The sequence below is a fragment of the Homo sapiens genome, chromosome 9 (assembly GCF_000001405.40).
Source record: "Homo sapiens chromosome 9, GRCh38.p14 Primary Assembly".
Taxonomy (NCBI): Eukaryota; Metazoa; Chordata; class Mammalia; order Primates; family Hominidae; genus Homo; species Homo sapiens.
In genome coordinates, this window is record NC_000009.12 from 94,995,892 (window position 1) to 95,022,870 (window position 26,979).

At 41.6% G+C, this 26,979-nt stretch overlaps 1 protein-coding gene across 43 annotated transcripts in view, besides 5 other annotated features; it reads left to right on the forward strand.

The window, feature by feature from the left end:
• Positions 1-26,979, forward strand: part of AOPEP (aminopeptidase O (putative)) — a 423,526-nt gene that overhangs the window by 269,193 nt on the left and 127,354 nt on the right. For 32 of the 43 annotated variants that reach the window (NR_169862.1, NR_169863.2, NR_169864.1 and 29 more), the window contains 2 exons: positions 9,267-9,329; positions 9,651-9,725. The exons of 1 other annotated variant lie outside the window; for it this stretch is intronic. Coding sequence is in view for 31 of the 42 variants with exons in the window: in XM_011519121.4 (XP_011517423.1) it covers positions 9,267-9,329; positions 9,651-9,725 (138 nt within the window). In the remaining 11 variants the exon portion in view is untranslated. Of the gene's footprint in view, positions 1-9,266; positions 9,493-9,650; positions 9,726-19,992; positions 20,286-23,558; positions 26,395-26,979 lie in introns of those variants that run through there. 10 more of the 43 variants (XM_017015232.3, XM_047423985.1, XM_047423988.1 and 7 more) reach the window with 7 other exon arrangements.
• Positions 16-310: a silencer, noted in NCBI's record as "tiled region #14176; K562 Repressive non-DNase unmatched - State 23:Low". NCBI's record gives its function as "represses a minimal TATA promoter and a strong SV40 promoter by Sharpr-MPRA in K562 cells {active_cell/tissue: K562}" and the evidence as "EXISTENCE:reporter gene assay evidence [ECO:0000049][PMID:27701403]".
• Positions 8,620-8,869: a silencer, noted in NCBI's record as "silent region_20059". NCBI's record gives its function as "represses an Ori minimal core promoter by ATAC-STARR-seq in GM12878 lymphoblastoid cells {active_cell/tissue: GM12878}" and the evidence as "EXISTENCE:reporter gene assay evidence [ECO:0000049][PMID:35858748]".
• Positions 8,880-9,069: a silencer, noted in NCBI's record as "silent region_20060". NCBI's record gives its function as "represses an Ori minimal core promoter by ATAC-STARR-seq in GM12878 lymphoblastoid cells {active_cell/tissue: GM12878}" and the evidence as "EXISTENCE:reporter gene assay evidence [ECO:0000049][PMID:35858748]".
• Positions 9,160-9,449: a silencer, noted in NCBI's record as "silent region_20061". NCBI's record gives its function as "represses an Ori minimal core promoter by ATAC-STARR-seq in GM12878 lymphoblastoid cells {active_cell/tissue: GM12878}" and the evidence as "EXISTENCE:reporter gene assay evidence [ECO:0000049][PMID:35858748]".
• Positions 21,923-23,122: an enhancer, noted in NCBI's record as "CDK7 strongly-dependent group 2 enhancer chr9:97780096-97781295 (GRCh37/hg19 assembly coordinates)". NCBI's record gives its function as "activates an origin of replication core promoter dependent on BRD2, BRD4, P300/CBP, MED14 and CDK7 cofactors, with strong dependence on CDK7, by STARR-seq in HCT116 cells {active_cell/tissue: HCT116}" and the evidence as "EXISTENCE:reporter gene assay evidence [ECO:0000049][PMID:35650434]".

The window sequence follows — 26,979 nt, forward strand, 5'->3', positions numbered from 1 at the left end:
AGAATGGCTGGGTTTATCCCTAGTAGAAAGAAGTTATGTTTGGTATCTAAAGAACAATGAGAGTTTGCTGCTTGGCTGATCAGTGCTGGATCAAGTTCACATTCCCCGGCTCCCACTCTCCACCTCCACATGCAGGGGGTGGAAGCAGAACACAGGGAGGGGAGGACAGGTCCTTTTTCACGGAGAGACGTGAGCCTGGGCTTTCCTTATATGGACACAGCTCGGCCTGTGTAGCATTAAACACTGATTTCATCCACCGCTGGAGAAAACATCCTACAAAAAGTGAAGAGATTAGCAGCCAATTAATTCTGGCCCTTCCCATTGTTTTCCTGGAACACCTCCTTGTATGGCACTGAATGTTTGGTGAACAAACATTCTGGAAAATAGCTTTCTCTCATATCTTATTTATATTTGGAACAGCCACTCCACCCCCCACATGTGGTGGATTTTACTTGCCTCTGTGTGTGTGTGTGTGTGTGTGTGTGTGTGTGTGTGTGTGTGAGAGAGAGATTTTACTTCTTCATCAAGGGATGGATGAATCAGGCCCATTCCTCTTGTTGCAAGTTGTGACTTCATTGGTTTTCTTTTGGAGGATATATAACAAGCCACACAGTCTGAGTGCCAAGCTTTTTAAAACTCGACCTGCCAGGGCCACAGACTCCCATCACGTCCCCTCCTTCAGAGGCACTGTGGAGCATCCACATGTCCATGTGCCCACACTTCCAGATACCACACCTGCTCTATCTTAGGAAATAACGGGAAAGTACCTAGACATGGTTGTTTGCTTTTCAAGCTGGTGAAATATCAACATCTGATATTTTTGTGTTTTTCAGTAGTAACTAATCCCTTTTTGTAAGGCATTTTGTCAGAATAATTTTCCTATAGCAGCAATATATGTGTGTGTGTTTTCTAAACAATAGAGCCCATGTGGTTAGAGCACAGTGCTCAAGACTGGAGGAAGTCAGCATGGGTTGCTTCCTGAATGGAACAATACCTTTTGCACACAGCAAAGGGTCTTTTCCATTGGTGCACACTGTCCCCTAATTCTAGCCAGCAATCTTCCAAATGCAGATGTTCATTTCAAGGGAATGGATGGCAGCCCTCAGCATAATTAGAACATCATCTACAGATGATGAGTTGGAAATACCACCTTCATGTTTACAGTATTGCAGGTCAGCACTAAGATTGGGTTCCTAAAGATAAGGATGTATGCACTTTTCGCTAAGGACCCAGAACTGTATTAGCTTTAGAGAAAAAAAGTCAGATATCTGCCCATTGTTGCCTCCCTTCTGGGTAGAATGTTGAAATCTTCCACTTCTTTTTAGTTCTTTTTGTGTGTGTGCTTAACTCATCTTGCCCAAAATTTTATCCCTTGGTGTAAGCTGCAGGAAGTGACTCCTGGTTTGGACCACCAGCCCATCCTGCCCAACATTGTGTCTGCCATCTGCCAAATTGGACTTACTGTAGTAAAGCATAGTGAGTGGCTATCATCTGTGGCATTGACTTTGAAATTTAGATGTCTCCCAAGCATCTGGAATTTTTTCCATAGTAACCTATTTGAGATGGGGCATCATTAAAATTATCTAAGGCAGTGGTTCTCAATGCTACCTGCACATTGGAATCCTGAGGGGTGGAGGTGCTTCAGAAATGACTGATGTCTGGGTCCCACTCTCAGAGATGTGAACCTAAGTGGTCACCTGGGCATTGAGATTTGTAAAACACCTTCTGGTGACTCTAATAAGCACTCGAGAGTAGAAACCACTGATCTAAAGGCACCCTTACATCATTTTATATTTCACCTGTGAAATTTTGTTTTTTTTGAGACAGAGTCTTGCTCTATTACCCAGGCTGGAGTGCGGTGGCACAACAGTGGCTCACTGGAGCCTCAAACTCCAGGGCTCAAGCGATACTTCTGCCTCAGCCTCCTGAGTACCTGGGACTAGAGGCATACGCCACCGTGCCCAGCTAATTTTTTATTTTCATTTTTTGTAGAGATGGGATCTCACTATGTTGCCCAGGCTGGTCTTGAACTCCTGGCCTCAAGTGATCCTCCCACCTCAGCCTCCCGAAGTGCTAGCATTACAGGCATGAGCCACCACACACAGCTGAAAACTCTTTAAGGTTATAATGTCCATGAATATCAAGCCCTGTAAATAACTGCAGTTGTAACAGGCATTGAAGGGAATATAATAATGTCTGCTTTTTAGAATGTATTTTTCAGTAGACTTTTATGGTATGGAATTATATTTTCCAGCCTATGTTGTCATCTGGGGTTGATCTAATCCATATAATGAACAAATATGTTAAAGTGAGACAGTCACACTAGATGTTCCGTAAGTACTCACGCTGGAGTAGAAAGAGTATTCCATTTCCAACCAGGAGACCTAGGGGCCAAGCGATATGAAATCCCCTGAGACTCAGTTTTTCCATCTTTCAGATGGGACTGTGTGAGGAACGAGCAGAACAGTCTGTATATGGAAGCACTTTGTAAAGCCTTCAGTTCTGTAGGTAATTGCCACTCTTCTTCTCTCTAGCAGTCTAAGGTCCTGTGCTCTCTGGTAGGGGTGCTTCAATACTTTTTTTGTCTTAAAGTCACTTCCCTCCAGCTTCTGGTAATGTTGTATTGCTTCTTAATTCTAGTCATTTAGAAGTTGATAAATAACAACTGCTTCTTGTTCTAAGCAAATTACATGTCATTTGATCAGAACTTTATGAGGAAGGAGGCTTAGAGGGGCCACACAGCTACTAGGCAAGCCGGCTGTGTGCTCCTTATACCTTGCTGTATTACTGCGTTGTCACAGGAGTTTCCTGAGGACAGGGACAACGTCTTACTCATCTTTGCATTCACGAAATCTAGTGCTCTGTTTCACAGTAGGCATTTAATATGTCTTTTATGTGAATAACCTGTCCATATGTTCAACTTACATTATTCTCTCCATAATCTAAGCCCCTTTCTTCTGGTTTTGATACCAAGAAGTAAAATATTTGGTTGGTTAGCCTTTTTGTAATAGTCCTGTATAGTATTATGTTTATTTGATGATGTCTGTATAGTATTATATCTGCGTAGTATTATATATTTTGACAGTTCTTTTCATAGAATTTTATAAGTAGAGTTATAAGTTAAGAACAGTCATACATCCTTAACTCCTGTACTTTACTTCTAAACGTTGTTAATGGAGATAAATCTTAGAACCATAAGATTTTCCCAGATCCTCCCTTCTCCCATCCAAAGAGAAAAAGGAAATTAAAAAAAAACAAAAAACCCCAAAAAACCCAGAATACTTTATTGAGTTATCCTCTTCCCTGTCCAAAATGGAGTGAAGGCAGCTTCCAAAACAGATAAATATAACATGATAGAAATAAAACAAGAAAAATGAAGCAACATGAAAATAATGGTAGAAAAAAAAGGATGGGGCCAGGAATTAAATTAGCACATAATATGCACACCCTGAAGTTCCTATGCCTGGTTAAACAGGGTCACAGAACTCCAAGCTTTCTAGAAGAGGGAAAAGGGATAAATTGCAATATTCAAGAAGTAAAAACAAAAAAGCTGCCTAAGTCCGACTATTCCTGATGCTGATACCAGGAAGAAGATTGTCCTATGGCTCCTCACAGAAAATTACTATCTAATGGAATAAACAACCCTCTAAATCCATCCTTCCGGTAAACATTGTGATGGATTTTATGGGGCTGTTTCTTATAATGCACCTCAATAAATGTTGATGGCTTCTTACCAGAACTTAATGCGATAACAGGACTTTCACAGAGTGCCCATAAGACCAAGTCCAGGGCCAGCTTTAAAAGTGGTCTGGCTTATTCCAAGAAGGGATTTTAGAGTATCCAGACTACAAGTTTAGGTACAGAAGAATCTGTGAACATCCTGACAATTGGGGTGTGTGTGTGTGTGTGCATGCATGTGTGTGTGCTGTAGGTGTATTTTTTTCTAAGGAGCTGATAGCACCATTAGCCTTCATTAGAATCTCAGAGGGGGTCAAGAAATGGAAGAACTAAGCATTGTACATGTTCCCTCAGTTGATCTCTGTAAACGTTTTTAGCAGCAGTGAGCTCAGGTTATGGTTACTGAGAGAAAGAAGGTCTGTTAGCTGGTTCACTGCAGAACCATAGCCTCAGCAATCCACTACGCCAAGCATGAAACTGACTTCCTTTTTTGAAAATTATGCTTTGTAAGGACTTCCACTAAGAGGTCCGTTTGGCAGGGCCAAAATCCTCCTAAAAAAAAACAATGACAACAACAACTAGGTGTTTATTTAAGAGAGAGACAAAATGGGCAAATAAAAATAATACAAATAACAGGTAAAAACAAACCAGCTGATCAAGTCCAACTATTCCTGATGCTGACGCCAGGGAGAAGACTGTCCTGTGGCTCCTCATAGAAAATTACTATCTAATGTAATAAACAACCCTCTAAACATCCTTTATGTAGCATCTTTTATATTTTTTGGATTAATTTATAATTTTTCTAAAATCATCCAAAAATATTACATAAAGGATGTTACATTTAAAAATAATAGATGGCCGGTCACGGTGGCTCACGTCTGTAATCTCAGCACTTTGGGAGGCCAAGGTGGGTGGATCACCTGAGATCAGAAGTTTGAGACCAGCCTGGCCAACATGGTGAAACCCTGTCTCTACTAAAAGTATAAAAATTAGCTGGACGTGGTGGCAGGCGCCTGTAATCCCAGCTACTGGGGAGGCTGAGGCAGGAGAATCGCTTGAGCCTGGGAGGCAGAGGTTGCAGTGAGCCAAGATTGCACCATTGCACTCCAGCCTAGGTGACAAGAGCAAGACATTGTCTCAAAATAAATAAATAAATAAACCAAATTTAAAGATATAAATATTTGATAATTTTGCTCCTAATCCCTCTGTTATTTTTGAAACTTAATCCAACCTTGATTTTATTTCTAGACGTGTGTAGATTCCTACTTTTAAATTCACCCTGAACGTATGTTGGCAATAGAACGCTTCTGAAACCAGTGGAAGCTTCTGGAACTCTCGACCTTGTTTGGTATTGAAAGATCTTTCGGTTTCTTTTAGTGGATAGTTTTCCCTCCGCTGTGCCTGAGGGAATGTAATTTGCCATCTGTGGCTGTTTGGGAACATTGAAGAGCCCCTTGCTTGCCCTGTGGCCTTCCTGGTGCCTAGGAAGGCTGGCTCCTCTTCCTTCCTCTGTCCTGTGCCCCCTCCATGAAGTAGAAGCAGGAAGAGAAAACACACCCGTAACAATGTGAAGTTGGTCTCACTGTATTTTTCCAGTGATAGGAGGAATTTCTTCTTTGTCTAAGAAAAGGAAGAAAACTGAAAAAGGCTTTCCCTCCAAAAGTAATCTCCAATCAATCACGAGGTTAAATAATTTTAAAGCAATGGTATTTTCCTCAGCCTCGGACGTTGTCTTCAGCTATTATGAACTGCTTTGACAAAAAAAGTTTCTTAGAACAACTTCCTTTCAAAACATGCGTATCTACTGGATGAGGCATTTTTAAAGATACAATTCAGATAGAAAACATCTGTTTTAAGAGACAGCTTTAAAGTGCTTTTACTACATTCTCAAAGACAGTAATTAGAATACCTGTCCCCCACTATAGAATTCCAGTTTTTAAAAAAGCGGTCTTCCAGTTTCTCTACACCCTACCTTCATTGGCATCAGCCTGTGAAGAAGGGGAGATTCAGGTAGACAACAGGAGAAATGTGTTCAGGCTGGATTGAACACAATAGAAAAGTATTTTTTCCGTGTCATGCAATATGTAAATCTTTCATTCTAGATTAAATTCAGCTTGTAGCACCATGCTGGAATATAATTTTAGTGATTCATATGTGACAGAATTAGGAACCTTTCTCATTTCAATTTTTTAAAATTTATCGTTATTTACTTATTAATATTTTTTTGAGGCAGGATCTCACTCTGTTGCCCAGGCTGGAGTGCAGTGGTGCCATCATGGCTCACCGTAGCCTCTGCCTCCCGGGCTCAAGTGATCCTCCCACCTCACCCTCCCAGATAGCTGGTACCGCAGGCTAACACCACCATGCCTGGCTGATTTTTTTTTTTTTTGTAGAGACAGGGGTCTTGCTATGTTGCCCAGGATGGTGTTGAACTCTTAGGCTCAAGAGATCCTCCCACCCCGGCCTCCCAAAGTGCGGGGATTACAGGTGTGAGCCACCGTGCACAGCCTGTTTATAAAGTTACCCTGGCAATATAACTAATATCCCATGGTCTCCCTTTTGTAAAAATGTAAAATTCTAGCCTCTTTACAAATTAAGCATTTTAGTGGTGAAACAAACAGGAGGTAATTAGAAAGATATTCATTTTAAGACTTCTCCCCCTTGAAATTTTAGGTGTCCTTCATTTGTTCCTTTATCCTTCCATTCACTATATAACATATTTATTGAATTTCTAGTATATGCCAGGCAATGTTTCTGGTGGACTGAACAAAAATCAAGAACAAAAGATACGGGATCTCTTTCTTCTTGGGGCATAAAATCCAGCTGGGGAGAGAGACGTTCAGTACATTTTTAAAAGAGCTATAATAACTGAACATCACAGAGTGAGCCCTAATGTAAATTTGACTTTAGTGAATAATAATGTATCAATATTGGTTCCTCAGTTATAATAAATATACTAATGCAATATGTTAAATATGGGGAAGCTGGTGAGTGGGTACAAATATGGGAACTCTGCTTTCTGCTCAGTTTTTCTATAAACTTAAAACTGCTCTAAGAATCACTCTAAAGGAAATAAACAGAATGTTATTAGAAAGTATAGTGGAGTGACATAATTTGGACTGGGGAGTAAGGAAAGACCTTTCTGCAAAAGCGCTGCTTAAACCCAGAACTAGAGGATAAGTGGGCTACCACGCAAAGAAGAGATGGAAAAGCATTCTCAGTGAAGCAAAGTGGTATCATTTGAATTACCTTTGGACGTACCATTCTGGCTTCTCTGTGGAGGATGGATTCTGGGATGGCAATTGGGAGGAGAGTTGGGGGACAAAGGACAAACGAGACAAGAGGCAATTAGGATGGGTCACAGCTTTTGCTTCCTACTTAGCAAAATCCTAGAAGAGCAGAGTGACAGTAGGCTGTTTCCTTTGTTCAGCTCATGCCGGAAACCGTTAGGTTATCCATGATCTGGGTGCTAGGAAGAAAGGAGACTGTGTCAGTAGCAGAGCAAGACAGGGTTTCCAGGTCTCAGTTTCTAAGATCTTTCCAGTGGTTCAATGGGATTTATAGAATTAAGAATGTGTGTGTGTGTGTGTGTGTGTGCGCGCGCGCGCGCGTGTGTGACTGCAACCAGTTAAAAACTGCAAAGGGAAAAAACTTTTCAAATAACTAGTACCCAGCTGTTAACAACAGCTTTCATATAAGTCTGTAAGATTTAATTTGCAATAGTTGTCTTTATTCCTGTTACTGGACTATTGGAATTTATTTTGGATTTTGTTTCTTCCAAGACTGTATGTTGAAAAACTGTATTTAAGCAGAGCACTGTTTTAGTACATCAATATTGAATGGCTCATATCACAGTTTCTGGGGATCGTGAACTCCCAAGGAAAAAAATTCTAGTGGGTAAAAGGAAGTGCCTGCCAAGATAGATTTCTATTGATTGTGGAACTCTTATTAGCAGCATAAAAGGTTGAAGAGTTTAAAGTTCTCTTTCCCTTTAAAATTAAGCAGCTCAGAATAATCCACTTCACCATTTATAATTATTTACCTGCCTATGTGCAAGATTTCCAAACCATTAACTATTTATATATATTTCCTTTACAGTAAAAAATTGTATATGATGGCTGTACAGTCTATACTAAAAGATATAATAACACATTGAAAAATCTCTAGCAAATGAGCACACATTTCGTAGCACTTAGCTATTATAATAATGACGCAAAATGGTTAACACGTCTATTTATATTGCTCTCTAGATTTCAACTTTTTTGTATTCCTGGAAACAGTAAGAATCCCTCATTTGAGCAGACTTGTTGTTTGTTTTAGGAAATAGACATACATCATCCGTGTAATTTTAAGTAGTCCAGTTATGAATATGGAATGAAGGGATAAATTCCTGATGTCTCCATTAAGCTCCTCTGTGTAAAATACTCCATGGCAAAGTTGCTGCTATTTAAAGTAGTGAGTTTGATCTTGGCTTTGATCTAAACCTTTTGATCTTGAAAGAAGGATGGAGTAGCAATAAAGAGAGGGCAAGACAGATTTTCTTTAAAGAAATGTGATAAAGTTAAAGGGATGGTCAAGACCCAGCAAGCAACAGGACAACCCGACTCTCCGCCCCGGCCCGCCCTCACCGGCAGGCGGGTTCCAGCAACTGCTGATGCGGATGAGAAGGCCTTTGGCGGGTGGAGGAAAATCTTGGGGTATCGCACATTTTTATAAAGTAAGTGTAAACTTTCTCCCTAATTATGAAAACAGATTGACCCCTTCTTTTTAAATTCTACCCAGTGGTTCTGGGGGTCCACGGCAGTCTGAGGGCTGCGGGTCCACACTCGCGGGAGCGCGGGGCTGGGTTTCTCTGCGCCCTGGCCTCGCCCCCCGGGAGGTCACCTGCCGCTGCCCGGAGCCCCGAGGGGCCACTGGGAAACGTCTACTCGAGGGCGTAGAACCCGGTCCCGGAGAAAACTCCACTAGGAAAGTTACTTTCCCTGCGCGAAAGCCACCGGGACCAGGTTTCCGACTCCAGGAGCGCGCTACGCTGGCTACGGGCGGGGTTCCTTCCCCGCCACCGCTCCCTCCAGCCTGCGGCGGGCGGCGCGGGCCCCTCTCGCTGCCGGGAAGCCGCTCGCAGGGCGCGGAGCCGGGGGAGGGGTGGCGGGGGCAAGGTGCGCGGGGGCGCGGGGCGGCCGGAGCCCGGGGAGGGGTGGCGGGGGCAAGGTGCGCGGGGGCGCGGGGCGGCCGGAGCCCGGGAGCGGGAGCACGCCGTTCGTGGGGAGAACAATACAATGCCGGCGCGGGCGGGAGGGCGACCTGCGGGAGGCGGCGCGGCCGCTATACCTTTAAGGCAGGCCCCGCCCCCGCTCGGTGCCCGCCCGCCCGCCCGCGCCGCCGCCCAGGCCCCGCGCCCGCCGCCCGCGCCGCGCCTGAGGTGATGCGGACCCCGGGCGGGCGCAGGGCGCGGGCTCCGGCGCCGCCGCTGCGTCCTCCCCGGCCGCGGGCGAGGTACGGGGCGGGCACGCCGAGTTAGCGGGCGCGGGGCAGGGAGGCCGGGGCCGCTCCCGCGGTAAACTTGACTGTGTCCTCTTCCCCCGCAGCCGCTGCAGAGGGAGCGTCGCGCCGGGGCGGAGTGCGGGCTTGCGCGGCAAGTGCGCGCCGAGGTGAGTGCGGGCGGCGCGGTCCCTGCGCCCCGGTGGCGCCGGCGCGAGACCGCGGCTGGCGAGAGGCCCTGGCTCTGCGCTGCGGCGCGCGGGTGCGGGGACTACCCGCCAGGCTCCGGCTCGGGCGCGGGGAGCGGCCGTGACGAAGGTCGCGGCCCCTGCGGTGAGGCGCCCGGCGAGTTCCGCGGGCGGGCGCGGGTGGCCTCCCGAGGTGCGGGGAAGACCAGGTCGCGAGGCCGGGGGTCTCTGCTTTCTCGCGCTGGGGGATGGCCGTCAGGACCCTGTCGCCTTCTTTGAAATGCTGTGGTTTTTGAACCTCAGGTCACGAAATGGATTGGAGTGAACCGGAGACCCCGAAAACGGAAGCGCAGGGAGAAGGAAGAGGTGTTTGAAAAGGTAGGGGTTCCCGAGACGGTACTCGGTGCAGGTCTTGGTAAATCCGCTTCTGCCCCGTGAGGACCTGGTCATGACAATAGAGTAGTGTTTAATTTAAAAAGTTTTTGTTATAATAAACCATAGATTTAATATATGGGGAAATTCTACAGAAATATTGGTCGATAAGGCTAATGATCATTTATATAGTCTCATTAGGAGAGAGTAGCCCATGAAATTTGTTTCATGCTCATTAAATACAGCAATCGGACTTAAGTGGGTTCCATTATTATTTTAGATCAGCAGTGTTTATTATCTCAGTGTTAAGGTACCTCTGAAAAATGAAAAGTGTTCCGAATAAATCGCCCACAGTATTAGGTTTCCATGCTGTACTTTCTCTCACCTAGACTTTAAATTGGAGTCATCTAAGAAATAGAGAGAGAAGAAGAAAGAAGTGGATTACTTTTAAAACACTAGGAGGAATTTTATTTACTGTAAAGCAGATGAGAAATTTGTTTGCCCAAGTTTAGAATTTCAGTATGTTACTTTGCAGAAGTTTGGACTGCCTGTCTTTTGATTTTGTATTAAAACTTGATTTGTCATTGTAATATCATGAAATAAGGTAAGTAGCCCGTTGTTTTCTAAGTGACTTGCGGAAAACTCGTAAAAGTGAATAATTTTTTGACAAATATTACAGCAGATAGGTTTTTTTGTTGCTTTTGCTTAATTACATTTCACTGTTTTTTGATTCTTGATACCAGCAAGGGATTAAAATAGCGGTGTGTTTTTCTGCTGCTAGAATGTATGATGAATCACTCTTGATTCTGAAGCCAAATTCTTGCTGATAGCATTGCTGCCAATTTCTGTGCTATGTTGCCTTAGTATGGGCATTGCAGCGTCCGAGAATGTGCACAAAGCACATCAGAATAAAGGTGATCCCAGAGCTGCAGAGTGCACGTCAGGATACCAGAGGGCAGCTTCTGAGAGAGCTGGAAAAGGAACCAGCCTGCGAATATAGTTGTTTGTAGCTGGACTTTCAGTGTGCATGAAAAGGGGGACCCCACCCCTTTTCTTTTTCCACAGAGGGTCATATATGTCACTTCAGTTGAAGAATAATAGAAAAAGTTGTGATTTGGAACAGACTTGAGTTTTCTGACCATACCTCAGCATGGTATGGTAAGTTGTGTTTAATGGTTTAGGTGTTTTTTTAAATGTTTGTGAGGTGATGAATGAGATCATAAAATACCCAAAGAAGGAAAAGAATTATGGCTTGCTTGGTATTTTTTAAAAAATGTGTCGTTGCTGTTAATTTTTTTTTTTTTTTTTTGAGACGGAGTCTTGCTCTGTCACCCAGGCTGGAGTGCAGTGGCGTGATCTCGGCTCATTGAAGCCTCGGCCTCCCAGGTTCAAGCTATTCTTCTGCCTCAGCCTCCCGAATAGCTGGAACTACAGGCACATGGCACCACACCCTGCTAATTTTTGTATTTTTAGTAGAGACGGGGTTTCACTGTGTTAGCCAGGATGGTCTCGATCTCCTGACTTCGTGATCTGCCCGCCTCGGTGTCCCAAAGTGCTGGGATTACAGGCGTGAGCCACTGCACCCTGCCAGCTGTTAATTTTTAAGCCAAAAATAAGATTACCAAAATGCACAATGTGCTGTAGAAAGGAAGGGGAAGCCATTATCTTTGTGGATTACTAGATGTTGTCACTACCAAAATCTAACCTAGAAGTAACCGTATTTGTGACACCCATGACCTGACTACTGGGTCTCCTGAGAATCGGGGTGGGGAGAAAGTGGGGGGGGGACTGATTATTTTACCTTGCAGGAGAATGAAGTTCTTTGCCCAACCGTTTCCTCTTGATACAAGCTCTTGCGTTAAAACTTAGGGGGAAGATTTGCCTCTCACTTTTTTTCTTGGAAAATGTGGGCAGCAATTTTAAAGAGAACATGAAAATGGAGTAGGTTGAAACCAACATTCAGAACTTCCTTTCATGGATTGAAACTTAAAGCTGAGGAGGTTTGAGGGTGGAGGTGAGGAAGGGCTAGAAGATAGCAAATTTCAGAGTCATATCAGAGAATATGAACTGTCAGTGTTTCCAATGTTTCTCTTGGCTCTGCACAGCACTTCCAAGCCCTTTTGCTCACTGTTTTGCTTCTGCCACACCTAGGAGAAGATTCAGAGCTTGCTGAGGCAAAACATGCGATATTTCCAAGGGCCTTCCCCCTATTCTGAAATAGAAATTGAGCTTTGTGATCATGTGTATTCATTCCAAGGTCTATGTGTTAACCTTTTGCTAGGATTTGAACCTGTTATTAGTAGGAGCCGACGCAGTTCACTTGCTGTTGAGTCTAATAAGTTATTTTTAAAAACGTTTGCCATGTCACAAGTAGAAGCAGATTATTCAATTTCTCTTTTTTCCTGCATCCACTATATTTTTCTTCTGTGTTAAAATAAAGCTATGGTATTTTCTGATTTTATTCATTTTGTATTAGTGTAAAATAAAATGAATCTTAGTCATTTCTGGTAGATGCCGCTTTGAAATGTAGCCATTGCTTTTGATTGTCTACTTTGTTTTCCTTGCCTCCGTTCATCCCCTCCACATTGCCCTTGCCTCCAGCCCCGAAGGGTCTGTCTACACCTGCAGGCTTCTCTCAGGATTCAGCCTAGATGAGTAAATTCGGTGAAGTCATCTGTACTAACTCTGCTGGGGGTCACAACCTTTTTCCTCCGATAGGAGGGGGCAGCTTTTTTCCTGCCGTGTGGAAAGCAGAACCTCTGACCTGCCCGGGAAAGGAAAACAGTGCTCTAGTGAGAGGACGGACTCTGACCACGGGCGCTGAGCAAGGAGCTACACGGTAGAACGGCATCTTCCAGGGATGTTTGTTTTCCCCTTAAAGAAAATCTCGAAGGTGCTGAGTAGTAGGCACAGTCTGATGTAACCTGAAATACTAGTTGAGTTTTTCAGTGAACTCACAAGGGGAAGCAAAACAAACTCACCCTGTGCTCAGCTGTGGGTTAAAATAACGAATAGTGAAATAAAGTAAATTGGGGACTGAGATGTACCATGCAGATAAAGTGATGTAAAGTGCTCTGCCGGCCTTTCCCCGCCTTCTGCTTCCAGTCATCCCACCCACCAGAGAATTGTGCCATCTTTCTGTGTTGTCCTAACAGGCTTCATTTCTTATCTCTCTGAAGATGCATCATTCTGTCTCATGCGTCTTTTCATATTTTCTCTGACATTTATTTCCATTTTATTTTAGTTTCATATTTTAGCCCTTGTTCTCCTGGTATGACTGAATTCTTTTATATTTTGTTTTTCGTTTAAAATGACAAAACTCACCTCTTCTACTTCTGGTCCTCAGGTATTTTTTTCTTCTATTCTGATACTCTTTTTTATTATTTCAAGTTCCTTTCATTTAGTTTGAATAATTTTTGCAACAGAAAAACAAGGAAAGTATGAATAACTAACGAAGAACAATTAGGATGATTGGATCAGCCAGCTGTGCAAAGGACAGGATGAACGGTTGTGATTGCAACAGTGGATTTTATGTGTGTTTTTAAACTAATAGATTTCACTAAATGGCTATTGGTTTTGGAAGAGGAATGCACTTTTTTTTCTTTTTTTTTACCTTCGTTAGCTGATTCAAAGATAAAATTGTGTGCCATCACAGATTAAGGAATGTTTTTATAAATATATACATATAATATAAAGATTTAGTAACTCTTTTATCAATATTCTAAGGATTAGAATGTATAGTAGAATAGTCTTTTATGAAATAATATACTTATGGAAAATATATGACTGGTATATGATTCCTTTAGAGGAAGAAAATTTCAATTTTCAGATTCAAAGGAAGCACCCTTCCTAGTCTATATATATAGTAAGCGGAGAACTAGTTTTACAGTGCTCATTTCAGGTCTTCAGTAAGTGTGTATGATGATGTCAGAAGTATTCATTGGCTCACTTTCAAATCATTGAAAATTCAGCCATGCTAAGGTTGGCTATTACGTGTATTAGCGTTTCCAAGCGAGTGGTCTTGGCTGGGGTGAGATTGTCAGCTGTCTGTTAGGATTAGTCACAACAAACATGGTGCAAATGGTTTCCAACAACAGCGCACTTCAATGTTACCTTCATAATTCTTTTCTGCCAGAACCCAAAAAACAATACTCTTGAGCTACTCAGTGTTCCAATTGTTAAAAATTTCCTGAAATTTTCCTTCATGTATTCAAAGTGAAACATAAAGATCTAGAAGGATGGTTGTGAAAAGTATAGACTTTATAGTATCTAGTGGGCATTTTCATTGAGCCCAAATGATAAATTCTGTTTTCCAAGTCTTTTAAGTGAAAAAAAAAAAGATTTTCCTTGTTATAATATATTCCTAAATTCTAGAGTATTTTCACTCTACTTCTATTTCATTTGTTCCTTGTACATACTTGACTCTGAACCAAAATCAGTGATAATCTTAGTTTGAATAATAATTCAGATTTAAAAAATTGTATATAAAATCCAATTTGGTTTATGCATTTTTTAGCGTTTATTGTTCCTTTTAAATTTTATATATTGTAAGAGAATACTTTTATTACAGTACTAATATTATTCAAAATGATAAAGGTAGGTACAAATTTTAAACTATTTAACAAAGTACTGCTGTGTTTGTCTTTTGTTACAAAGGTATATTTTATGTTCAGTTTATGATCTCTGAAAATGAATATTAAGACTAATAAAAATTATTTGGCTCTTTCTTGGACCCAAAACAACAGATGGTGACTGTGGTAGGCTTGACTCCAGAGCCATCAGCACACAAAGCTTAGCAAAATGGCACAGAATGAACCTATGGAGTGCTGAGCTGAGGGTCCCTTCACTTTGTAGGAACTACCCCGCTTTCAGCAAATAGTAGGCTTAGGCAGCCACTCTTATGCCACTGAGGCAACATTGCAGTTGAGTGCTTTCCCAGGCGTTGGTGCCCTTGCCTCTTTTTGAGAGTGCCATTGCTCTGTGAGAATTCATAACTAGTCTACATTTATATAGCCGTAATCTCTTACAATAGCTTCATTGATACTTGATTTCCATAGAAAAGCTTTATGGATTCTAGTGAGTCACGGCTCTTGAAGCACCAGCCTACCCGTTTTCCCTCCCTTCATCCCTTCCTCCCTAACTGTGAGTGGCTTTGTATCCTGTGTTGTACTGATTGTGCCTTTGGATGGCAACTTACTTGAGTGATGGGGGGAGGCAGAATAATTTATTAAAAGTAATTACAAAGAAACCAAACAAAAGGAGTAATTACAGTGCTGTTAATACGCAATTCGTTACTTTATTGCTGAAATATTTGGAACTCATTTGAGATTCTTGGTCCTATTTGTGGGTCTCTGATTTTCCCTTGTAAATCCCTAATAAATAATGTATTAAAGTTTCTGTACCCAGGTCTCATTTTAGATGAGGTTTCACAAAGTCTTAGCTTTGTTTGCTATATATTTTTTTAAGCTGGACCAAGGAATAATTGCTGATAAAAGGTATTTTTGGTAGCCTCAGGAAGGAAATCTGATCTGTATAATTTACTGTTAAATTTTTATCTGTTGTATAGATTTACTTATTTTTCCTAATTTCCCTAGCCATTGATTTTTTTTTTTTTTTTTTTTTTTGATACGAAGTCTCACTCTGTCCCCCAGGCTGGAGTGCAGTGACCTCCACCTCGCGGGTTCCAGCGATTCTTCTGCCTCAGCCTCCCGAGTAGCTGGGACTACAGGCACGTGCCACCACGCCCCATGCCCGGCTAATTTTTTTTGTTTTTAGTAGAGATGGGGTTTCACCGTGTTAGCCAGGATGGTCTCTATCTCCTGACCTCGTGATCCGCCCACCTCGGCCTCCCAAAGTGCTGGGATTACAGACATGAGCCACCGCGCACAGCTGATGTATTTTTTTAAGACTGCCGTTTTGCTGGGCATGGTAACTCACGCCTGTAATCCAAGCACTTTGGGAGACTGAGGCAGGAGGATCACTTCACACCAGGAGTTCGAGACAGCTTGGGCAACATAGAGAGACCCCATCACTACAAAACATAAAGGAAGTAAAAATTAGGTATGATGGTACATGGCTGTAGTCCCAGCCACTCAGGAGGTTGAGGCAGTAGAATCGCTTGAGTTAATGAGTTAGAGGTTATAGTGAGCTGTAATCCTGCCACTACACACCAGCCTGGGTGACAGTGCAAGACCCAAACTCAAAAACAAAAACAAAAAAAATCTATAGTTTAAAAAAAAGTTCCAAGATTTCTGTGTACAAAATTCCTTCCCGTTTTTAACTAGCATAATAAGGAAAGTTAAAGTATCATCATCCACTTACCCACATACACTTATTCACATATTTTAAAAAGAATCTTTGAATGGAACTATTCATATCATAATAGCTAACATTTCCCATGTGTCAAGCACTGTTCTAAATCCATTACATGTATCAGATCATGTAAATGTACAATTAAAGTAGTATCACAACCAGCAATATGACATTAGGATGTTGTAGAGTGCATCAAACACTTTTTGAAAGGGGTGAGGTGTAAAGAAGTCAAACAATTGCTATAAAAAAGAATGCTTTGGGCAATATTTGAAAATTCTCTTTAGTGCAGGTTATTGACAATCCTAGACCACCAGCATAAAGCACACATATCTAATTTAGGAAAATCCCAGCCGGGATGTATTTGAAAACATTTGGAAGTGTGCTGATAATTACACTACTATTGATTTTAGCAAGTTTGATGCCAGCAGCCATCAACTCTTCTATGCCATAAGAGATGAAAGCCATTTTTATATAAAATGTTAGAGTTCGGCTGGAAAAGGGAGGCAGGCAGAGAAAAATTTCGTGGCTTTTTAGTTACTTTTATAGGCAGTATTAGTTTCATTCTTGTGACAGAATGCTTTACTTGGCAGTCATTCTCATCGACATTTTAAGGAGCTGCTGTTTTGTGCCTGGGTCTCATATGGCACTAATAAGGTGCATTTTTTTCTGTAGCACGTACTGATGTCTGTGTGGGCTCAGGCCTGCCATTGTTTCCATTCATCTTGTATTGGAGGAGGCTGACAGCAGCGTGTATCGAGTCTAGCCAACATATATTTCCTTCTGGAAATATATGTTCAGGGTCTGTGCCCACAGAAGAGTTAAACTCAAGCTTTTAATCTCCAACACTTAGAAAAAGGCCTGGCCACATGCAGCCTCAATAAGTATTTGTTGAATGAATTAAATGAATGAATCCCACAAATGGCATTTATTTTATAAACTCATACCTGGCTATTGCATTAAAAATTTTTTTTTCGCTATTCAGGTTTTTATTTATTTTGTTTTTTTTTTTTAACGTTAGAGGTTTTCATCAAAGTATATTTGGTAGAGTTTTCCTGTTTTTTTTTTGGGGGGGGGGGCAGGGCGATTATCTCTTATCTTTTCTATAAAGAGAGCTTGGATTCCTAAAGACCTTATACTGGTCCCAACTGTACCACCTAATCATGTGTCCCTTGAGTTTGTCACGTGACCTTTGCTTTCCTCTGAAAATCCTTTTACTCAGTAGGCCAATTAAACCCATTTATAATAATTAATAAAATCAATATGTTTGACTTCAAGTTTTTCCCTTAGTTTTATGATTTTTTAAAAGTATTATCCTTTTTTGGCATTTAGGAAGGCATCTATTTTTGTTTTAATGGTTACTTTGATGTAATACTTTTTTTTTCTGCTCTTGTGTATTGATTCCCGCTGTGAGTGATAAATCAGTCATTTACCTTTTCTTCCCCCTCCTCTCTTTATTTTCCATCATATAACTTGAAATATTATCCTTTTTTTTTTTTTTACTTCCTGTAAATACCTGTAAGACAGTCGGCCGGAGGATTGTATTTTCAATATAATCTCCTCATTATTCCCTTCTTGATGGTTGGACTGTGTCTACAATGTCAGAGCATATAGGCATTACATACTATGCTGTACCCTTTATAAAATCACTTAAGTTTTAATTCTGTGGTTTATATTTAATGTTCATCATCTGCTTTTAGATTGATGTCTTTTCAGTCAATTCTGAAGCTTGTTTTCTAGTAGAATTCTCAGGAAGAGCTTAGAACAGCTATAGTCCTGGTTTTTTGCATGTTTTAAGTTTGTGCTGTTTATACCTGAAGGTCATGTCAGCTAAATAAGAAATCCTTGGTTCATATTTTTTAATTTAATTATCTAAAGTCTGTTACTCCATTGTCATCCTACATAAAGTCTCATGCTGGTCTCATTTCTTTCCCTTGGGGAGTGACCTGGTCATTTTTCCTGGACACCCAGATTTTTTCTATACATTCCAATAATTTTAGTTTAATATGTCTCATTGTGGGTTACTTTTCCTGGTTGTCACTTGGCTTTTGAGCTTTATTTTCCTTGTCTGTAAAATGAGAATAACTTTTTTGTTTTGCTTGCTCACAGTAGATATGAAGCCAAATAAGGTATTATATATGAAGTGCTTTAAATGTATTATTTTACTATCTTGTTATCCTTTAAAGTTTCTTGTTATTAGGAACTTTGAAATTTAGACAGCCTGAGCAACATGGCAAAACCTTATCTCTACCAAATACAAAAATTGTCTGGTCATGGTGGCTCACGCCTGTAATCCCAGTACTTTGGGAGGCCAGGGTGGATGGATGGCTTGAGTCTAGGAGTTCAAGACTAGCCTGGGCAACATAGCGAGATCCCATCTCTAGAAAAAAAAAAGAACACAAAAATTAGCTGGACGTGGTGGTACATGTCTGTGGTCCCAGCTCCTCCAGGGCTGAGGTGGAGTGTCCCTTGAGCCTGGGAGGCGAATGTTGCTATAAGCCTAGATCGTGCCACTGCCTTCCAGCCTGGGTGACAGAGCAAGACCCTGTTTCAAAAAAAAAAAAGAGAAAAGAAACTTAAGAGTACTTCATTTTATGAGTGTATGGACTTGAGTTGATGTTCTGTCTGTGAAAAGTAAATAGTGGCTACCCAGTGAGTCTTCTATGTCCCGACAGTAAATAACCTTTCCCTGATTCCATGTGGTAAGCAGGATCTCTGCATCTACTCATGGAGGACTACTACTGGATTGAAGGAAGTGGCGCTTTCTGAAGTACCTCATCTAGAAAACTCCATTTCCATTTATCTTCTCACACTCTTGCCTGTCATGTTAGTTCCCCACTCAGAACTCTGGGTTTACATGATTTCAGTTTATATGTGCATAGAGAAACACTGGAAAAAATTAAAGTAGTCTATTTTTCAGATAATGAGGATTGCTGAAAACCTAAGTCAGCCTGAACAACCAGTACATTTTCTTGAATTTATTGTACATAAGTCCCCCACGTAAGAGGCTGCTGGAAAATACCAAAGAGACATGAGAAATGTCATTTCTGGCCATGGGGAGATCAAACACACAGCATATCAAAGATCACTTACAAAGCATCCTGTGATAAATAAATCCACAGCAGCATAACACAAACTAAAGACATGAGTATATGATGCATTTTTACCCGAGGCTACCCTGGGCTAGAGTTTCCATGCCTGGTCTTTGTTTTGATAAAGCAACACTTTACACATGTAGGCTGGAAATTATGGTGGGAAATTGGATAATTGAATTAACTGAGTCCATTTTAGTGCTTTTACCTGGTTTGTAAGCACAGATAGGGGTTTGATTGATGTATATGTAAATAGTGTTAGTGTCTTTATTTGAATATATGCTTTTAAAAATTCATCTATGTTTTGCAAGTAAAGCTGGAACCTATTATAGAAGTCCTGCTGACACCTGTGAATCAAGACGATTTGGAAACCCAAGGCCAGAAATGTAATACTGTTGATTATTCTGTGCATAACACATTTCTTATTAAATTCTATATTTATTCAAACAATTTACAATTTTTATTTGATGTTCACAACGTACAAAACCCTGAGTCAGGAGTAGAGAATACTGAGATGAATAGAATAGTTTATAGTTAGAAGTAGAAAACTATATAGGATAGGAGAATTTATAGATAGATGTAGAAAACTATTATAGGATAGAAGACAATTGAATCACACCTGTATCAGAGGTGCAGGGAAGTGCAGGAGGTATCGGAACAGTTTGGATCTCTATAAGGGAAGTCATCACTTTGGGTATTTTCATTGTCCATAAGCCCTCCTTCAGGCTGATAGCAGGATACAAATACCTGTGCAGTTTCATTCAACTCTTGTTATTTTGTATAATCGAGGATACCATAATTTGTATTCTCAAAATCCAGATTGCCTTCATGAGCACATACTCAGTATGAAATTTTTTTTCTTCTATTTTTAGTAGAGACAGGGTTGCACCATGTTGGCCAGGGTGGTCTCGAACTCCTGACCTCAAGTGATCCGCCTGCCTTGGCCTCCCAAAGTGCTGGGATTACAGGTATGAACCACTTTGCCTGGCCCCGGAAATTGATCTTTTATCTTTGGCTCATAAATGTGAAATCAAAGTGCCACAGCAAGTTTAGGCTACCTCTGAACTTGGTTCAGTCTATTTTACTCTCACTCTTTTTTCCTTTTACTTGCATTAAGCTTTTTTTTTTTTTCCCCCCACGGTAAACCTTTGGTTTTAAGGCAAAATAAAATGTTTCAGAATTGGGGATGGTAACTTTAAGTTCTAGAGTTATTCAAAGTTTCCTTCTCTTGTGATTTTTTTTTTTTTTTTTTTGAAACGTATTCTCTATCGCCCAGGCTGGAGTGCAGTGGCGCGATCTTGGCCCACTGCAACGTCAGCCTCCCGGGTTCAAGCCATTCTCCCTGCCTCAGCCTCCTGAGTAGCTGAGATTACAGGCACCCACCACCACGCCTGGCTAATTTTTGTTTTTTAGTAGAAATGGGGTTTCATCATGTTGACCAGGCTGGTGCTGAACTCCTGACCTCAGGTAATCTACCCACTTTGGCCTCCCAAAGTGCTGGGATTACAGGTGTGAGCCACCGCGCCAGGCCCTTTTGTGATTTTTGAATGTTAGGTTGTCATTCAGATAGCATCCCACACGTTTCCAGCACCACAGATATAGCATGACCTTTTTTTATTGAGATGGGGTCTCATTCTGTCACCCAGGCTTAAGTCCAATGGCATGATTATGGCTCACTGTAAGCTCAAACTTTTGGATTCAAGTGATCCTCCTGCCTCAGCCTCCTGAGTAGCTGAGACTACAGGTGTGTACCACCATGTCAGCTTTTTTTTTTTTTAAAAGAGACAGGGTCTCTATGTTGCTGGTCTTGAACTACTGGCCACAAGCAATCCTTGTGCTTCAGCCACCCAAAGTGCTAGGATTACAGGCATGAGCCACCACTCCCGACCCTGGCATTTTCTTAGATAAGGTAACAGTAGTCATTTTATGTGGCCTCACTTGTAACTACAAGTCACATAGCTCATGCTATTAATTTATAATTATATATAATTATATATATAATTTATGTATATATAAAATGTGGCAATTTTCTACCATTAATTTGGTGTCCAAGAGGAGAAAAAGCTATGAAGGGCATGAGACATTAAACAGGAATGGCAGAAAGAATCCAGGAGAAAAGCAGAATGTACCTCTGGATCCTATTCGTATACAAGTGGGTTTCTGTTTTTTTTTCTCCCTAACCATCACACATACATAAGCTTTAGTTTTCAGTGTCAAAGCTATACAGTCACACATCACTTAATTATGGGGAAATGCTTCATGTGGTGATTTCATCATGGTGAGAACATCATAGAGTATACTTAGACAAACCTAGATGGTAGAGCCTATTGCTCCTACACTTCAAATTTGTACAACATGTTACTGTACTGAATACTGCAAGCAATTGTAACACATTGGTAATTATTAATGTATCTAAACCTGTCTAAACATAGAAAAGGGACAGTAAAAATACAGTATTATATTCTTATGGGACCACCGTTGTGTATGTGACCCATCGTTGACTGAAATGTCGTTATGCAGCGTGTGGCTCTACCTTCAACATTTACTCCTGATGACAAAGGTAAAGATTGCTGAGTGCCCCCACAGACAGCAAAGATGGTGATTCTGAGTCTCGCTCTTAATGACTTTCTTGAGTTATATGTCATGTATACGTTACATGCCAGGAAATTCATCCACAGACAGTTTGTTGAGTTTTAAGAAATGCTTATAGTTGTGTACCTGATACGACAGTCCAGTTTTAGAACATTTCCATCACCCAGAAAGTTCCTTGTATCCATTTGTAGTCAATCCCCATTCCTCCTCCTAGCCCCAGGCAAGTACTAGTCTGCTTTCTGGTTTATAGTTTACCTTTTCTAGAAATTTCATGTAATTGAATCATACACTACTCAGTCTTTTGGATCTGCTTCTTTCATTGTAAAGTTTGAGCTCCAGTGGTGTTGCATGTATCACTAGTTCCTTTTTATTTTAAAGTAGTTTTGCATTGTATGGATATACTACATTTTGTTGATCCACTTACTGGTTATGAGATGTTTGGAATGTTTTTTGCAGTTTTTGGCTATTATGAATAACCCATCTGTGGACACTGGTATAACTGTCTTTGTGTAGACATATGTTTTCATTTCTCTTGGGTGGGTACCTAGGCATTGAATGGCTTGGCTATATGGCAGGTATATGTTTAACTTTTTAAGAAGTTGCTAGACTGTTTTCCAAAGTACCTGTACCATTTTACATTTCCACCAGCAGTGTTTAAGGTTTTTAGTTTCTCTGCCTCCTTGTCAGCTCCTGGTATTGTCAGACTTCTTTATTTTAGCCACTCCGGTGGGTGTTCAAACGTGCTTTTTTATACTTAACATTTTATTTCTTGAGAGGATTTGAAAGTGTCTAGATACCTTAATGCTGCTCGTGTCTTCCATTTTACAGACCAGAAGGCATTGGCCCAGTAAATGGGAATCTAAATGTCTCACCCGAGATTCCCAAATGAGTCACTGAGCCTAGAATCTTCATGCGTCAGTTGGAGTTGTAGCAACCTGCTTTTGTTCTGTCAACTATTGTGACTCAGAATCCTCTCTGTCCTTGTAGCATTGTTAGGTGTGCCTTTCTTTTTATCCTTTCAAAATCATCTGTTCTTATCCTCTCTGGAATTGTGTCTGATGACATGCAGCTTGTTTTCTGCAGAAGAATGCTAGTGTTGTGGAGAGGTTCTCTCTGCCTCTTGGCTGCAGCACACAGGCGCTGGGTGGTCAGACCTGCTTCCGAGGCTGTCTCCACAGTGACTGTGCAACCGCATGTCATCCTGTGAAAGGGCAGATACGTGCCTCGTCAGAGCCTTGTGGGAGTTAGTGAGGGGACTTCTCTAAGGCAGCTAGTACTCACTCAATACTTAATGCATCTTAAGGCACCTCTTCACAGAAGGCGGTGGAAGGCTGCTTACGTGATGGCATGTGGATAGCGATGCCATCCGTTTGTTTTTTTCTCCTCCATGACAGAGAAGCAGGAAAACATTCCTAAATTTATTTATAGACGTTAAAAAAAAATCAGGCTTGGTTTTTTCCTGTAACTGTTCTTCAGCCGGCAGCAAGTATAGCAGCAAGTATACAGCAGCAAGTATACAGCAGCAAGTATACAGCAGCAAGTACAGCAGCAGCAAGTACAGCAGCAGTACTTTATGAGTTGTTGTGTTTATTCCCTGCCTTTTGGCTTTACTCAAGAAAACCAGTTGTGTTTCTCAGAGCAACTGTATTGTTTTATTTGCCACTCTCTTCACTTTGTCCATTATAGTACAATAGATTGTCCTTGTCCCGTCTCCAAATTGGAAGCTCCCTAGGTGGTGGTCAGGCTGTTGATGAGATTTGTATTCTATCAAAGCTCCATTTTAGATAATCTATCATCATTTTTTATACGCAGTAAGTCGCTGATTTTGTTTCTTTTTTTCAAACAGTTTTGATTTGAAGTTCCTTTAAAGGCTGTTGGAGCTTTTGCAAATACCCAGCTAATGAAAGGCACTTAAGATTGGGCCCATGTGCATCATCACATTGAAGTTTTCTGTCTAAAGGAAGGTTCCAGCTACCTGTTACCCTTTTGCTAAACACAGTTGCAGTGTTGCAGTGTATTTCATGACAAAAGTGTACTCTAGTTTTCTGTGAAATGATTATTTTCTCTGAAATGATTCTTGGTCATGTTGAGCTTCTAAATGTTAAAGAGAACATAGTGCTTTTGACCTGTGGAAATCTCATCTTGGTACCATGGTGCTGCACAGACCATCAGGAAGAACTGAAAAGTTCAGGCAACTTGAGAAAATAAAGTCACCACCAGCAAGAAGCTGTCTAAAATAACCGGAAGATTATAACCCAAGCACGTGGAGGAGTGTGCTAGTGAGTAGAATGTTATGAAAGCTACTAGAGGTCCTCCATAGATGCATGTGCTAGTCCTAAGGAGAAGGAAGAGGAGAAGGATTGCCACGGAGGAACACCTGAAGTTTCAGTTGAGCACTTTGTTTGGAAAGTTGTCCAAGGCTGGAGTTGTGAGAGCTGGGAAAGACCTCACAAGCTTCTCTAATTCAAGTCCTTGTTTCACATATGAGAATGCAGAGGCCCTGAGAAGTTGATTCCCAGGCCTGCATGCTGGCCTGGAACTAGAGCCTGGGTCTCCTCTTGCTTTTTCCAGCTGTCTGCCCAGGTAGCTCCCCAAGGCAGGCATGGAGGCAGAGCTGCTTTGGGTTCCAGGTAAGGAGAGATGTGTCCAGGTGGCCTTTGTTGTATTGTGGGGCACAGACACTGAGGGAGACAGGGAAAGGTCTGGGAGACACAAGATGGTACCCCAGAAGGCCATCCTTTGTAGACTAGACACACATCCAAAGGGAGGGCTGTTTCCTGGCTTATTGAGGACTTTTCCATTTGGGCTAGAAGTAAACTGAGTCAGATTTTGAGAGATCAGTAATTCCAAAGAGCAGATAAGGATTCTATAGTAACACAGCTGGGTTCACTGCACGGGTTGATGTCAAATTGTGCTTTTCATGTTACATTAGTGGATTTTACAAGGCACAGATTATTTGACATTTTTGTGATGCTTGTTATAGACCAACTGTGACATGACAGTATTATTTAAAAAAAAAAAAAGAAATATAGGGCCAGGCATGATGGCTCACGCCTATAGTTTCAGCACTTTGGGAGGCTGAGGCAGGTGGATCGCTTGAGCTCAGGAGTTCAAGACCAACCTCGGCAACATGGTGAAACCCCGTCTCTACTAAAAATGCAAAAATTAGCCAGGTGTGGTGGTGCATGGCTGTGGTCCCAGCTACTCAGGAGGCTGAGGTGGGAGGATTGCCTGAGCCTGGGAGGTGGAGGTTGCAGTTAAGCCGAGATTGCGCCACTGTACTCCAGCCTGGGCAACAGAGTGAGACCTTGTCTCAAAAAAAAAAAAAAAAAAGACATAAGCATGACCAGATAAATTGACATTTTGTTTTGAAATGCAGTAATGGCACTCTCACAAATGACCTTTTCACCAGTCTGTGCTGGTATTTGTAAATATATATGTTAGTATTGTTTTCTAAAATGCAAAGCTGATTTTCATGTTTATATATATTCATACCTTGATATATTGCAATTTTAGAGTTTCTGCAGTCTGTCTAACTTGGCTGTTTGTTCATAGGCCAGATCAAACTACCCTCATTCCCCAAAACTTGGATTGTGAAGGGATTAGTGCCCCAGAACTCTCTGTGTTACTGGCAGGGCAAAATGGGTAGGAATAGTCTGGCTTAGGGAAAAAGACATATTTTCTCTCTAACACAACTGGCAGATACTGAAGTGGGCAGGTGGCAAGAAAAGGCAAGTACTGAGCTGATTCAGACTTGCAGAAAGCTTCCTCTCCTCCTTCTTAGCAAAATGAAAGGCTCTGGGAAAAGGCACCTGCCTTTCCCTGCCTTGAGGATCCTGGCATCCTTGAGTCTTTATTGAAGATTAATTTAATGACTTGGTCAACAATAGCATTACCTAATCACAGAGCATCAGATTATCATAAGACAAATTTAAATGATGCCGAAGTATCTTCCAGCAGAGGATTAGTGATGTACCAGCATGCATGTGTAGCTTGTGTGGGTGTGTGTGCATACAAGCATGCACATGTGCGCACACACACAGAGAGTCTAATTGGCCTTTGTCCTCTGAGCAGGGGGCAGGTTTGGGCTGGGGCCTGCTGTGTGACCACAGTCTCCCATCTTAGATTGAAGCTACATCGCTGTGTGCATCTAACTCTTGATTCACGGTCTGACCGACGCCTTGGTTTCTGGAGAACTGCCCTCGTTTATGGAAGAGTCACTGTCATCAGGAGCCATCCCAGGGAGAGGCTCAGTGGGAAGTGTAAAGGTGGAGCAAGTAAACCGGCTCCAGAAGAGAAGGCGAAGAAGGACTATTTCTGTTTAGATTTGCTTAACCGCATTTTCACTTTCTTGGGAACCCCTGATGGAGTTCAAGGTCATAGAAGAGAAGAAATCAGACACTGCTACAGGACTCTTGCTCTTGGTTCAGATTATTCAATGGGAGGGGAGAAGAGAGTAGTCGCAAGTGATTGTTGTAGATTTTGTCTCAGCTTTTTGTTTTTCTTTGTATCAAACCTGTTTTGAGATCATACACTGTTACAGAGAAAGAGAGGAGGCATATTATAAACGTGTGGACTTCAGTGTTATTCCTTCTCTTCAAAATGATGTTCCAGGTGTCTAGAGGGTGAGGTATGTCATTTACATGAAGGTTAAGAATAAAACAGAAAGTGCCTCTATGGTATTCTTAGTGGGGTTTTTTTCCTCTGAAAAACTGTTGCCAGCATATTTGGGAATACATCCTTATATTATTATTTTTGAGATGGGGTCTCTGTCGCCAGGCTGGAGTGCAATGGTGCGATCTTGGTTCACTGCAACCTCCACCTCTTGGGTTCAAGCGATTCTCCTGCCTCAGCCTCCTGGGTAGCTGGGACTACGGGTGCCCGCCACCATGCCTGGCTAATTTTTTTTGTATTTTTAGTAGAGATGGGGTTTCACCGTGTTAGCCAGGATGGCCTCGATTTCCTGACCTCATGATCCGCCCGCCTTGGCCTCCCAAAGTGCTGGGATTACGGGCGTAAGCCACCGCGTCTGGCCTATTTTGTTTTTTTTTAAAGACAGTTCATTATTGTCTATCTTAATATGTTAGAAATCACTCAAAATAAAGCAGCTGTTTTAACAATAGCTCAGTAGAAATAGTTTGTTGAGAGTGTTTTACTTCCCAAGAAGTTTTTTGATGTAGTTTTCTTAGCAGGAAAAATGTTTGTCTGTTGTGGATGGAAACATTTCCCCCCTTGCCCAGAACATGTGTGGTTTCCATTAACTTATT